The sequence below is a fragment of the Homo sapiens genome, chromosome 22 (assembly GCF_000001405.40).
Source record: "Homo sapiens chromosome 22, GRCh38.p14 Primary Assembly".
Lineage (NCBI taxonomy): Eukaryota > Metazoa > Chordata > Mammalia > Primates > Hominidae > Homo > Homo sapiens.
This window is the reverse complement of record NC_000022.11, coordinates 38,709,565-38,723,914: the sequence shown is the minus strand read 5'-3', so window position 1 is coordinate 38,723,914 and position 14,350 is coordinate 38,709,565. Positions and strand designations below refer to the sequence as shown.

Below are 14,350 nucleotides of genomic sequence, written 5' to 3'. Positions count from 1 at the left end.
ACATTTAGAAGTCTACAGAGACCCTTATTATGAGGCTTCCCAAAGGGATACTTTTCTACAATCTTTAGCAGTGAGGGAGAAAGGCATGAAGGCTTAGTCCTGCAACCCTGTGTCAAAGCTTTGGTGGCAAAAGGTAATCAGACCCTCTGTCCAAACTTCCCCGTATATATCCAGCTTAGCTGGTAGAGCCCAACTCCTTCTGCCTGGGGTCACCTGAAAAGAGGTGCCAGATTCAGGATCTCAAGATTTCTGCATTTGGAACCAGAAGGAACAAGGAAGAGGATAATTCTAGGCTGTGTTCAGACCAAGAACTAAATAGGGGAGGAAGTAGCAGAAGATTCTGGGCTGATGGAAATTCAGGCCAAGACCTAAGTACAAGACAAAGGAAGTTTCGCCCGCGTGCACTGAAGATGGTAGCTGCTGTGGGAAGGCTACTCTGAGCATCGGCTGCCCGACATGTGAGTGCCATTCCTTGGGGCATTTCTGCCACTGCAGCCCTCAAGCTTGCTGCTTCTGGAAGAACGAGCTTGACAAACATATTATGGTCTGGTTCCAGTCAAGCAAAATTCTTTAGCACCAGCTCCTCATACCATGCACCTGCTGTCGCCCAGCATGCACCCTATTTTAAGGGTACAGCCATTGTCAATGGAGAGTTCAAAGACCTAAGCCTTGATGACTTTAAGGGGAAATAATTTGGTGCTTTTCTTCTATCCTTTGGATTTCACCTTCGTGGTCCTACAGAAACTGTTGCTTTTAGTGACAAAGCTAAGGAATTTCATGATGTGAACTGTGAAGTTGTGGTCTCAGTGGATTCCCACTTTAGTCATCTTGCCTGGATAAATACACCAAGAAATAATGGTGGTTTGGACCACATGAACATCCCACTCTTGTCAGATTTGAGCAAACTTCCTGAGACTACGGTGTGCTGTTAGAAGGTTCTGGTCTTGCACTAAGAGGTCTCTTCATAACTGACCCCAATGGAGTCATCAAGCACTTGAGCGTCAATGACCTCCCAGTGGGCCGAAGCGTGGAAGAAACCCTCCACTTGGTGAAGGCGTTCCAGTATGTAGAAACCCATGGAGAAGTCTGCCCAGCAAACTGGACACTGGATTCTCCTACAATCAAGCCAAATCCAGCTGCTTCCAAAGAGTACTTTCAGAAGGTAAATCAGTAGATCACCCATGTGTATCTGCACCTTCTCACCCCAGAGAAGAAACACAGTTGAAGCCTGCTTTTATCATTTTATAGATGATTATCTGTAGAAGGCAAGGAACCAATTATGCTTGTACTCATAAATATTACTCTAAATGGCTAAGGCCTTTTAAACATGGTTAGTTGCTAGTATAAGGAATCCTTTATTGGTAACATCTTGGTGGCTAGCTAGTTTCTACAGAATATAATTCGCCTCTGTAGAAGGCAATTCTTAGATCACATCTTCAGTAGAAACACTCTTCTGTCTTAGCCTTACTTGAAGCTTGCCTACAACAAAGTGGAGCAACACACATTGAAAGCTTCTGATCAAGGGTCCTGAAATTTTCATCTTGAATGTCTTTGTATTAAGCTGAATTTTCTTTTAAGCTAACAAAGATCACAGCTTTCAATTGTTATCAGCAGTCAAATTTAACTCCTGCAATGAATGTTTATGTGATTGAAGCAAATGTGAATATTATTTTAAAAAGTGGCAGAGTGACTTAACTGATCATGCATGATCCCTCATGCTTGAAATTTATAGTTTACCTAGTCATTTTACTTATTTTATTCATTAGCTAACTTTGTCTACATATATTTCTAGATACTGACCAGTGTAACGGATTATAAAGGATAGTTATTGGATCCAGGGATTGCATTTTGAAATTATTATAATTATTTTCTTTGCTGAAGTGTTCAATGTAGAGCACATAATAAAAATAAACATATTGTAAAATAAAAAAATAAAAATAAAAAAGAAAAGAAGTTTCTGGGCTAAAGCCGTGGTAGCAGACCACCTGAAGGCACAGCAGGTGACAGCCCCAATCAGAGGGGCTGCTGCTAGCTGGAGGCTTCACTTACCTTGCAGGATGTTGGCAGGACACATGTCAATCTTGGTGACTACCACAAAGACAGGTACATTGAGTGCCAGTGCCAAGCCCAGGTGTTCTTTGGTCATCCCCACGATGCCAGCATTGCTGCCCACCTGCCCCAACACAGAAAGGAAGTGTCAGGACGAGAGAGAAAGAGATTGCTGCTGGGTGGACACAGGGGCTCAAAAGCAGATGTGGATGAAAGCTGGGCTGGGCAAAAATCACGTTAACCCCTGACTCGATGATGTGGGGCGTCAAAATCGGAGGAGACTTGCAAACAATAAAAAAGATAAACCCAGTCAGGGAAACAACTGTCCTGAGCCATCAAAATGAATCCAAGTCAGGAGCAGTGGCTCATGCCTGTAACCCCAGCACTTTGGGAGGCCAAGGAAGGCAGATCACTTGAGGCCAGGAGTTTGAGACCAGGCAGGACAACCTGGTAAGACCTCCGTCTCTACAAAAAAATACAAAAATTAAGGCTGGGCACGGTGGCTCACTCCTGTAACCCCAGCACTTTGCGAGGTCAAGGCAGGCGGATCACCTGAGGTCGGGAGTTCGCGACCAGCCTGAACAACATGGAGAAACCCTGTCTCTACTAAAATACAAAATTAGCCAGGCGTGGTGGCACATGCCTGTAATCCCAGCTACTCAGGAGGCTGAGGCAGGAAAATCGCTTGAATCTGGGAGGTGGAGGTTGTGGTGAGCCGAGATCGTGCCATTGCACTCCAGCCTGGGCAACAAGAGCGAAACTCTGTTTCCCCCACCCTACAAAAAAAAGAAAAATTGACTGGGTGTGGCAGGATACGCTGTAGTCTCAGCTACTTGGGAGGCTGAGGTGGGAGGATCACTTGAGCCTGGGAGGTTGTGGCTGCAGTGAGCCATGATCGAGCTACTGCACTCTAGCCTGGGTGACAGAGCGAGACTGTGTCTCATAAACAACAACAACAAAAAGTGGATTCAACTTAACATCACTGGCCCTCAGTTTCCCCATCTGTAAAATGGGGAGATAACAATATCCACTTCAGAGGGTCACTTGATGTTTAAATGTCACAACACACATGAAGTGTCCAGCACACAACTAGCAGGAACTAGGTGTTTAAGCAATTGCACCTGTTATTACTATTACTATCCTTCCAGTAACAATAAATGTTTCCAAATATCACCGTAAGGACTGGTTACATAAATCAGGGCACGTGTATGAAATGTGCTGTACAAAAGAAGAAATTTTTATCTACTGATATGGACTAATCTCCAAAATATGCTTTTAAGGGGAAAAAAAAAGTAAGTTGCATATAGAATGCTATCATAAAAAGAGGTGAGTGTTCAGCTATGCATGGTGGCTCATGCCCATAATCCCAGCACTTTGGGAGGCCAAGGTGGGTGAATCACCTGAGGTCAGGAATTCGAGACCAGCTTGGCCAACATGGTGAAAACCCCTTCTCTACTAAAAATACAAAAAAAAAAAAAATTAGCTGCATGTGGTGGCAGTTGCCTGTAATCCCAGCTACTCAGGAGGCTGAGGCAGGAGAATCGCTTGAACCAAGGAGGCGGAGGTTGCAGTGAGCCAAGATTGCGCCATTGCACTCCAGCCTGGGCAAGAGTGAGACTCCATCTCAAAGAAAATAAAGGCCAGGCGCGGTGGCTCACACCTGTAATCCCAGCACTTTGGGAGGCCGAGGCGGGCAGATCATGAGGTCAGGAGCTCGAGACCATCCTGGCTAACATGGTGAAACCCTGTCTCTACTAAAAATACAAAAAATTAGCTGGGCATCGTGGCGGGCGCCTGTAGTCCCAGCTACTTGGGAGGCTGAGGCAGAAGAATGGCATGAACCCGGGAGGCAGAGCTTGCAGTGAGCTGAGATCGCGCCACTGCACTCCAGCCTGGGCGACAGAGCGAGACTCCGTCTCAAAAAAAAAAAAAAAAAGAAAGAAAGAAAATAAAAGGCAGTGGGGGATAACTGGTGACTGATTCATGGCTTAAAAAAAGCAGCTGAAAGATATTTGGGAAACATCTGAAATAATATAAATACAGACTAAATATTTGAGGATATTAGGTAACTATTCTTCATTTTCTTGATTGTAAAAACAGTAGGAGACAGGCCTCACTTTTAGGAGCTGTATGCTGAAGTGTTTAGCAGTGAAAAGTCACAATGTCTACATTGTGACTTTGTCTGGGATGAAGACATGTCCACTATTTTTAAGTGATTCAGCCACAAAAAAAAAAAACCAAACTAAACATATATACTTGGCTGGGCACGGTGGCTCACACCTGTAATCCCAGCACCTTGGGAGGCACCAAGGTGGGATGATTACTTCAAGCCAAGAGTTTTGAGACCAGCCTTGGCAACATAGCAAGATCTCGTCTCTAAAAAAATTAGTATTAGCCAGGCATGGTTGTGCACGCCTGTGGTCCTAGGTACTTGGGAGGCTGAGATGGGAGGATCCCTTGAGCCCAGGAGTTTGAGGTTATAGTGAACTACAGTCGCACCACCGCACTCTAGCCTGGGTAACAGAGTGAGGCTTTGTCTCTTTAAAAAATATTAAATCAGGCTGGGTACGGTGGCTCACGCCTATAATCTCAGCACTTTGGGAGGCCAAGGTGGGCAGATTGCTGGAGGTCAGGAGTTCCAGACCAGCCTAGCCAACATAGTGAAACCTCGTCTCTACTAAAAATACTAAAAATTAGCTGGGTGTGGTGGCACGTGCCTGTAATCCCAGCTACTCGGGAAGCTGAGACAGGAGAATCATTTGAACCCAAGAGGCGGAGGCTGAAGTGAACTGAGATTGCACAACTGCACTCCAGTCTGGGCGAAAGAGCAAGACTCCATCTCAAAAAAAAAATTAAAATAAATAAAAAACATATATACACATATGTACCCACCATATAGACACATAAATATGGCAAAATGTTAATGATTGCTAAATCTAAGTGGTGGATTTATGGTATTGGTTATACTATTCTTTCACCTTTTCTGAATGTTTAAAATTGGAGGGAGAGAACATATACACATTTGCTGATCTGAGTACAAAATATCTCTGGCAGGTACACAGGAAACTGGAAACACTGGTTGCCTCTGGGAGGAAACTTTTCACAATTTTGTACCATACTAAACCAGAAGAAAATTTGAAAGAAAAGCTGCCATGATGTGTTTACACAGTGCCCTATCCATTCCAGTGTGTCACGGAGACGCCCACTGAGTTTCCATGGCTCCTAGATGAGTCACCCCAGCTGGCACTTCCCTCTCCCTCCACCAGGACACTTCCACAGTCTTCCCGACGTCTTCCTGTGCCCTTCGGCCACCTTTCCAACCCAATGCAGACTTGCTTTTGCTCTTCCCAACCTGGAGAAGAGAGTGCTCTACGGCTGTTTTCTATATATTTTAAATATTTTTTCCTAGAAGTCAAATGCCATGGGACTATAATGAAATATTTCATTGTTTTCTACAGAAAGGTTAACATTTGGATCACAACCAAAAAGTCAGATAATATATATGTAACATTTTGTCCAGGGTGAAGATATTTCCATTAATTGGTCTTACTCACTGTAGCTCAGCTGGAAAAATGCTTATTCTCAACCAGTTTCTATACCCTTCTTAATATCAACCCAACAACTCCCCTAAATACGCCCTCTGGATCTTCCACTAAGATCCCTTCCTGGCAAGCAGCTTTCCTCAGCCCAGTCAAGAAGCTGGTCATGGCCCTTTGCAACATTGAAGGAAATGGGAAATGAAGGCATGCTGAGGTCCCAAAAGCCTCAGGCAGAGAGCCTACGAGTGTTCACACGGCTCTGCCTCTCTTTACTGCTCTCCAGTTTAGGGAGAATTTGCTTGAGAACCTGTGTTTGTGCAGCAACTTGATCAAGTTTGCTATGAACAGATGCTTATGTTTACTACATTTATTAATACAGGCAGCTGAAGGAATCGAGAAATGGGGAAGGGTTTTGGGAAGGCCTTGCCGAGGGAACACTCGAGGCATGTGTGTCTCTGACTCTGTCCCTTCCCGCCCTCCCTCTTCCTTACTCCTGCTGTGAAAGCTGTGGAGATGTGCACAAGGTTACAGGCCTTGCCGCTCCCCTCAGCACTCCCACTGTCTGTCCAGGGAGGAAGATCAGTGGGTCACAAAGGCAAGCTTAGCAATGAGATCCAACACAGAGCCCTCTGCTCCCTTTCTTTCTCAGTTAATCTATTAGATGAGCTGCTTAAACACTTTTTGGTTGTTTTTAATGTTCCGAGCAGGAATAGCTGCTTAAAAATTTAATCACGCTCGACCCTAAGCTTTTTGGGAGCCTCTGGACAGCCCTGTTCATTGCTGTATCATCAGACCTCACATAGTACCAGACACACAGGAGCCTCTCAACAAGGGCTGTGCACTGGCCGATCCTCCTCCCAGGCTCCAGGAGGCCACCTCTCAGGGCCTCTCGACTGTGGCCTGTGCCTCCTATGGCTGTCTTCTCCGTTTCTTCCCCAGGCCTGCCCCTCTGAAGGTACTACCTACCTGGTGTCACCTCCTCAAAGTAGCCCAATCCTCTGCAGAAAACATTTCTGAAGGTAACAAGTAAGGCCCAGGAGAAACCCTCCTCTATGCCTCTGCAAAAAATAAGACAGGTCTTCAAGGGTACCTGGTTTTTACCAAGAGGATACCTTCCCTAGTCTAATGTAAGGGAGAGATCAAGGTTCAAGCCTTGAGAAGACCATTACTCAGAGGACTGGGCACCCCTGCAAAACTCGCCAGCCTCACCCGATGTCAAAGCCCCAAACCAACAGGCCTCAGTCTCAGAACAGTTTCAGACTTGCACATAACCAGACCCAAGCAGCCCTGCTGACGCCTCCCCTCCTTGGGGCGCCTCCCACTCACCATGAGCATGCAGAAGTCAGGCAGATGGCCTGTCATGCCGAAGACAGTGGTTTTCAGGTACTTCTCATGACCAGCCAAGTCGATGAAGGTAATGACTTTCGTGGACTTCTCACAGATCTTGGTCCACTCCAGGCTGCCGCCGTGGCTGTCAGGCTTGTTCACTACATTGCCTTCACTGTCAAAGCCCAGAATGTCGTTGCCCACACTGCTGGTGCGACCAGATTCAATTTCATGTTTGTGGCGGAAGAGTTTCTGGCGGGCAAAGCCTCGGCCATTGTCCAGCTCCCCATGTGTCAGGACCCCCAGAAGCGTGCTTTTGCCAGCATCCACGTTGCCCACCACTGCTACCCTGCGTGTAGATGAACCCATACATCTATGTGAGAGTTAGTGAATGAGTGAGGTGGAGCGACCATCATAACCCCAGTAATTGGATCCGCAAGTCCAGGCTTGCCCCGATCCCCTCCGGCTCACAGCTCCTCCTTGAGCCGGAGGAGCACAGTGGGAAGGTTCCTAGAGCTGCTGCTGTAGAGTCATCAGAAGGGCCCAGACTCCCACAGCGGCTATCTCCCTTAACTCCCACTAGCTTCTGGGTGCTGCCAGGAAGAGCCGCAAGGCTACCAGAGGCACAAAAGGCTCTTCTCCATGACCCTGGTTTCCAGGCTCACAGGCTGAAGGGAAAAGAAACACACCCACAGAGAATGGCCACAGAATGCACGGCTGGCCTCTCTCGTGCTCTTCCCAAAGTGACAGGGAAGTGCAGAATTAGAGCAAGGAGCCCACGTCTCCAGACACCTGGACACTCTTTCCCCGCCTCAGGAGGGGAAAGGATGGAGCTGACACGCCAAGTGCCACAGGCTCAGTCACCAACCTCTGTGAAGAATGGGGACCCCAAAATGTCCCGCGGCCTCCTCACCTGACCTCCAGGAAGTCATTGTCTCCTACTCGTTTCCGGACCAGGTAATCACGCACGCGGCCCCCAGCTTCTTGCCGTTCCCGCAGAAGGATGACATCGGCCTCTATCTGTTCCGCCATGCTCTTCACTGTGGCGTAGGAGGCCTCCATGTCAGCTTCACTCAGCCCATACTCAGTCCCATCTGGTGACAAGAGCCCAGACATCAGCAGGAGAGGGAGTCCTGACCAACCAGCCTGCCAACCAGCCAGCCAGGAACCCCACCTAACAAAGGCCACCACCCCCCGACCCCAGCACTGCAGAGGAACAGGGGTCCTCTCTACCTGAGAGAAAACCTGGGCACACACCAAGTTAAAACATGACAGTGCCACAGACCTCTCCATCAAGCAGAGCATTCGCTACTTCATTCAACAACAGCCACCGAGGCTCTCCCAGGTTTTATGCCAAGCCTCATGCTGGGTACTAGGACTACAGGTGCCCCTAGTGAGCTCACAGCCCAGTGGGGGAGGCAGACAGGAAATTAATTAATTGCAATACAGCTCAAGTGCTGCACTCTAGGACTGTGTGAAGAGAACATAAAGCACTGCCTGGGGAAGCCGAGGACAGTTCTGCAAAGGGCTGATGCCAAGCTAGGTCAACAAGTGCTGGGCCTGCAGAAGGAGGAAGGACATCCTAGCCAGAGGAACAAAGCGTGGCGTGGCAGATCATGGCAAGTTCAGGGACCAGGAAGCAGCTCAGTGTGTTGAGGAGCAGCATGGGTGACATGGAGTGTCGGGAGACTACATGAGAGGTGGAAGCAGCACAACAGACGGACAGCAGCGACACACCTTCTGCACCAGGCATTGAGACACCCGTAGGCTGAGGCAGGGGAGTAACATGATCAGATGGCTGTGGGTTAGAAAGATCTCCTGAGTAGCAGTGCCAAGTGTGCACCAGCAAGTGAGAGACCAGTAAGGGGGGAGTCCAGTTAGGAAGTAATTCTAATAATGCAGGCAAGAGATAATGACGACAGAAAGATGGAGGAAAATGGGGGAGGAACTCAGAAACATTTTAGAGATAAGATTTTTAACTGAGGTGGCTCAGGTGACATGTCCAGCAAGCAGCTGGAGAAATGAGTTTGAGCTCAGGACAAGGAAGGGAATCAGACAGAAGGCAGGACCAACCGACCAAACAGTTACTGAGCTCCTACTATATGACAACCCGTCAGCTGCTTTCCATGAGGTGCTGGATTTAATTTCCACAATCACTCCCTCAGCCTTTCCCAGCTGTCCTGTCTCTGAGAGCACCCCTGCTCCTTCCCTGGCTGGCTAACCCCTTCAGCATGTGTGACTCTCTTCCCCCGCACCAAATATTCTCCTTGTCTCTTCTTCTCTTCCTCCCACTCCAAACAAGCTCCTAAACTAAGGAAAGGAAAACCACCCCCCTTCCCTTGCCCCTGCTTATCTGCAAAGCTACCATCTCCTGTTTTTCCTTTCACCATCAAACATCTCGAGAGTCATCAACGCGTGTTGACTGTACTATCCCACCATCTACTCAATGGGAATCTGCCCACTACAGAAGAAACCGCAGTTGTCACATGCCACCAGTGGCCTTTTTTTTTTTTTTTTTTTTTGAGATGGAGTCTCACTCTGTCACCCAGGCTGGAGTGCAGTGGCACAATCCTTGCTCACAGCAACCTCTGCCTCCCAGGTTCAAGCGATTCTCCTGCCTCAGCCTCCCAGGTAGCTGGGATTACAGGCGCCCGCCATCATGCCTGGCTAAGTTTTGTATTTTCAGTAGAGACGGGGTTTCACCATGCTGGCCAGGCTGGTCTCGAACTCCTGACCTCAAGTGATCTGCCCGCCTTGGCCTCCCACCAAAGTGCTGGGATTACAGGCGTCAGCCATCATGCCTGGCCCACCAGTGGCCTTCTAAACTCTCTAATGCCCTCTTCTTGACTCCTACAGCATTCGATACTGCTGGCCACTCAGCCTTTCCCTCTTGAAGCACTTCCCTCCCACCCTGCTCACGCATCACCTGACCTCTCCTGATGTGCCTCCCCACCCCGTCCCCCGCTCTTGTCTCCTGAATGCCAGTTTTTTCCAGTAGTCTGTCAGTGGCCCTGTTCTGTTTCCTCCAAACTTTCCCCTTGGCCATCTTGTTCTATGGCTTTGGCTGTCATTTTGAAAACTATAAAAACACTCATTTCTAACACCATCCTATGCCCAGAACTCCAGACTGAATTTCCAATTGCCTGGATAACTCCTAGAAGTCTGATATCCAAACTCAACACCCAACCCAACCCTCTTTTAAACAACAGCACAGACACTAACAATGTTAATAAAGCATTTTATTTCTCACTGTAATCTTATGAGGTAGGCATTACTGTTCCCTTTTAACAGTGGGGTAAAAAGAACCTAGGGAGATCTCAGAGCTTGGGGGAGGCCATGAGTTCAGGTCTTCAGATTCCAAAACCAGAGCCTTTTCCTCTTACTGCCTGACCAGTTCCTTCTTTATTTCTGACAATGACAATACCATCTCTCTAGCCACCAGTCTCCTCAGTCCAGTCCTGATGATTCTAGCATTTTACCTTGCCTCCTTCCCTGATGTCTGCCCTTTTTGCCAATCCGCAGCCACCAGCCTGATTCAGGCTGTTATTCTACCTGAACCACCACAACAGACTCTTAACTTTTGTCTTTACAAATTCAGTCTCTATTCCCTCCAACCAACCCCTTAAGGTCCTAAATAAAGCACAACTCTGACGCCGTCACTTCAAGTCAAAGCTTATGAATGGCTCCCCAGGCCCAACTGCTTAACAGCCTCCCCATTTGTGCCGTACTCCCTCCTCACTTTCTTCTTGTAAGCTCTGTCATGGTGCAAGTGGCCCCATCACACACACAGCACTCCCCTTCCTTGTGCTGGGGTTCTCTGCAGGGTCCTAGCTCTACACCTTTGCTCATGGATTTCCTATCCTGAAAGCCCAACAGCGCACCTCCTCCTAGCAAAATCCTACTCATTCTGCCCACAAATGTCTGTGTCTCCCTTACATTTGCAATGTACTGCCTTGTGCAACAGTGTTTTGGATACACATCCTCCCCTCCCCGCACAATACATAAGCATCTTGAAAACAAGGAACATACCGCAACAATTTCCTGATGCCCCACAACCAGTGCCTTTCCTCAAATGTTTGTAAAATGTAAAACAAATGAACAAAGAGGGAGCGGTTGGGCTGAGGAGTTTCTAAATGCACGGCAAAGTGAGCTGTGAAAGCCTTCAGGGTTAGAGAAGGGTTTGCTGGGAGTGTTCCTAAGAAGGCTGGCTAAATTCTATTCAACCTCCCCTGCTCCTGTTCTTTCAGGTCCTGTTCCACACCAAGGGCTATCACCAACGTCACCTTGTCCATCAGGGCTCTCGGTCAGTCACATTACCCGTCTCCAGCATGCATCACATTCCTCACTCTGTGGAAGCCGAGACAAAGGTGGAGGAGAAAAGCTGCAGAGGTCCAATTACTAAAGGCCACATACTCAGCCATGCCAGACGCTAATCAGATTTCCATCCTGCCGGCTCATTCACTTTTCTTATATGTATTCTCCTCTTCTACAGGCTGCAAAGACTCCCTAGACTCTCAGAATAAAAGTCTAACCTCTTTGGCATGGCATTTAAGGACCCTCAGAATCTGAGCCCTGCCTTCCTCTGCCCAGCCTCTCCTCCTACCACTCAGGACCTCATACTCTCCACTCATCCTACTGGATTACTTTTGGTCCACTATATATTCCTGTCTCCAATGCCTCCATGCCTCTGTGAGAATGGTTTCCTCTGCCCATTCACTATTCCCTCCATTTACCTGGAAAATTCCTACTCATCCTTTAGAATCAATTAAAGGGCAGCTCCTCTTCACAGCCTTTCCTGACTCTTCCACAAAGACTTAGTACTCCTTGGCCGGGCACGGTGGCTCACATCTGTAATCCCAGCACTTTGAGGCTCAGGGGGATCACCTGAGGTCAGGAGTTCAAGACCAGCCTAGACAACATGGTGAAACCCCGTCTCTAATAAAAATACAAAAATTAGCCAGGCGTGGTGGCAGGTACCTGTAGTCCCAGCTACGCGGGAGGCTGAGGCAGAAGAACTGCTTGAACCCAGGAGGCAGAGGTTGCAGTGAGCCGAGATCATACCACTGCACTCCAGCCTGGATGACAGACAGAAACTCTGTCTCAAAAATAATAATAATAATTTTAAAATACTTAATACTCCTCCTATGTCCCCTGAACTTTTTTTTTTAATTGTTTTTCTTTAGAGATAGAGTCTCACTCTCGCCATCTCAGCTCACTGCAACCTCCACCTCCGGGGTTCAGGTGATTCTCATGCCTCAGCCTCCTGAGTAGTTGGGATTACAGCAGTGCACCACCACGCCCAACTAATTTTTTGCATTTTTAGTAGAGATGGGGTTTCACTATGTTAGCCAGGCTGGTCTCGAACTCCTGGCCTCAAGTGATTGGCCCACCTTGGCCTCCCAAAGTGCTGGGATTATAGGCATGAGTCTTCTTTTTCAAAGAAATCTCATGATAAATCAACTACAACCTGGGACCCTTAAAAAAATTATTACTGCAACTACTAATATTAGCTAACATTTATGTAATGCTCACTATTCACGATGATTTCCTTGAATTCTCATTTAATCTTCACTACTACACCATGGGAGAGATTCCATTATTATCCCCATTTTAAGACAAGGAAAAGAGTCAGTAGGCAAATCCAGGCCTGCCAGGTTCCAGATCCTATAGATTAGGCCAGACTGCCCCCTTTTAAAATATCAACATTAAGAATGTATTCTTAAAGAGCACATTCCTCTACATTTGTTACAATTTTAAATGTCTTATTTATCTATACAAAATTTCTCTGAGGTAGGATGAGGAAGGTATCATTATTCCCATTTTACAGAGAAAGGATGTGATAAACAGAGGTGAAGCAGCAAGGAAACCACTGATGAAACTGACTCCTTGGGGCCGTGTATCTGGGTTAGTCTTCTGATTATTGTTCAACTTGTTTAACTAGTTATGATCTCTTTCTATTTGTAAAGAATTCCAGCAGGAGGAGTCACTATGAATCTAATAGCATCCAACTGGTGGATTCGAGGATGATGCTTGGGTGTACAGATGTGTTAATAAATGTCTGACATCTTACGCTTTGCCATGGGTGGGTTTGCCATGGGTGGGTTAATTGCCATGGGTGGGGTGTGAGTTGTCAAGGCATGGTAAAATTCACTGAGTCCACATAAAAGGATGAGGGGAAAGAGGAGTCTTAAGAATCTGGGTCTTCAAAAACAGACTCAACACTTGTCAAAATTGACCTATATGTGGTTCCTGAAATTCTACAATTATTAAGTGATCTTTGAGTGGTTCATCTTATTAGAGCAGGCCAGATGTGTACCTGACATCAAAGCTTCAAAAGGCTACCAATGATCTCCTAGTCAACAAATGGAATGTTTTTTTTTTGAACCTGGCATTCATTGCTGCCTCTGTAGCACTTGATAATGCTAATCAACTCTCTCCCTTTCTTGATACGCAACCTCTTAGTTTGCCTATCTCTCTGACCATGCCTTCCTTTAGGTGGTAAGACCCGCAACTAGAGAGGTAGCAGCAAGGATGGGAAGGAAAGAACAGATACGAAAGATATTTCAAAGGAAGGCACAGCTGCATCTGGAGAGCAAATCCTTCTTCTTTATGTCACTCTTACAACATTTCCAAATACTGTTTCCCATGGAGGTTATTTGTGTATATGCCATCTTTCCTCCTTGGGGCAGGGATCAGATTTTAAGTTTCCAAAAGAGCTTTGCAACAGTGGCAGGCCTTAGAAGATACTTAATAGATATGTATAAAATAGTTTAAGAATGATTTTGAGATTTCTTCAATCTTCAACTCAAACTACAAAAGAATTATTACCTGGCTTTACAAAGCCTACATTCAGCAAAGAAAAGTGTTTCTTTAATGATGCATCCAGGCCCACCTGGGCTTCCTGCAAAGATGACAGAGACAAGTGCTGGTATGGGCTGAATTCATAATCGTTAACAACCCCAGCTGTCATTTCAGCAAAGATAATCCCATAATGAAGATGAAGGTAAGCAGGTCTTGTATTGAAGTTGCTAACTAGGAGTGACCAGGGGAAGAAACCATAATATACTCTGGGATTGTTGTGAGGGCTGCCTTCCTCTAAAATAGTAGGTTCTGTTACAAGGAATAAGCAGCTTGGAGAACAATAACCAGTCCCTTTCAGAATGGTTACAAGCCTATGTGTCTGACAGGATCCAGTGGGGAGAGAGGACGACCTCTGTTATCCCAGCTATCCAGACTAAATAGTCAGTAGGGTCTGGGGCAAGGAGCCTGACAAGAGAGGAATTCTGGGCATCTTTTCTCTGCTGACACCAAGAAGAATCACGGAGGTCCTCTGCTAAGCAGAAAATAAGTCGCAATGGGATCTGTAAACAGGGCCTGGAAGGGAAGACCTCCAGCTGCCCAGGAATAAGCTTAATTCTAGACCTAACTATGGCTTG

The 14,350-nt window shown here is 46.8% G+C and overlaps 1 protein-coding gene and 1 pseudogene across 9 annotated transcripts in view; one reads left to right on the top strand and one right to left on the bottom strand.

The window, feature by feature from the left end:
• Positions 1–14,350, bottom strand: part of GTPBP1 (GTP binding protein 1) — a 37,172-nt gene that overhangs the window by 19,201 nt on the left and 3,621 nt on the right. For 4 of the 9 annotated variants that reach the window (XR_937967.3, XM_011530537.3, XM_047441615.1 and 1 more), the window contains exons 3-5: positions 7,828–8,008; positions 6,915–7,287; positions 2,050–2,173 (exon numbers count right to left, since the gene is read on the bottom strand). Coding sequence is in view for 8 of the 9 variants with exons in the window: in XM_011530537.3 (XP_011528839.1) it covers positions 2,050–2,173; positions 6,915–7,287; positions 7,828–8,008 (678 nt within the window). In the remaining variant the exon portion in view is untranslated. Of the gene's footprint in view, positions 1–2,049; positions 2,174–6,914; positions 7,288–7,827; positions 8,009–13,742; positions 13,816–14,350 lie in introns of all 9 variants that reach the window. The other 5 variants (XM_047441614.1, XM_017029100.3, XM_047441616.1 and 2 more) reach the window with 2 other exon arrangements.
• On the top strand, positions 393–1,371 carry PRDX3P1 (peroxiredoxin 3 pseudogene 1; annotated as a pseudogene).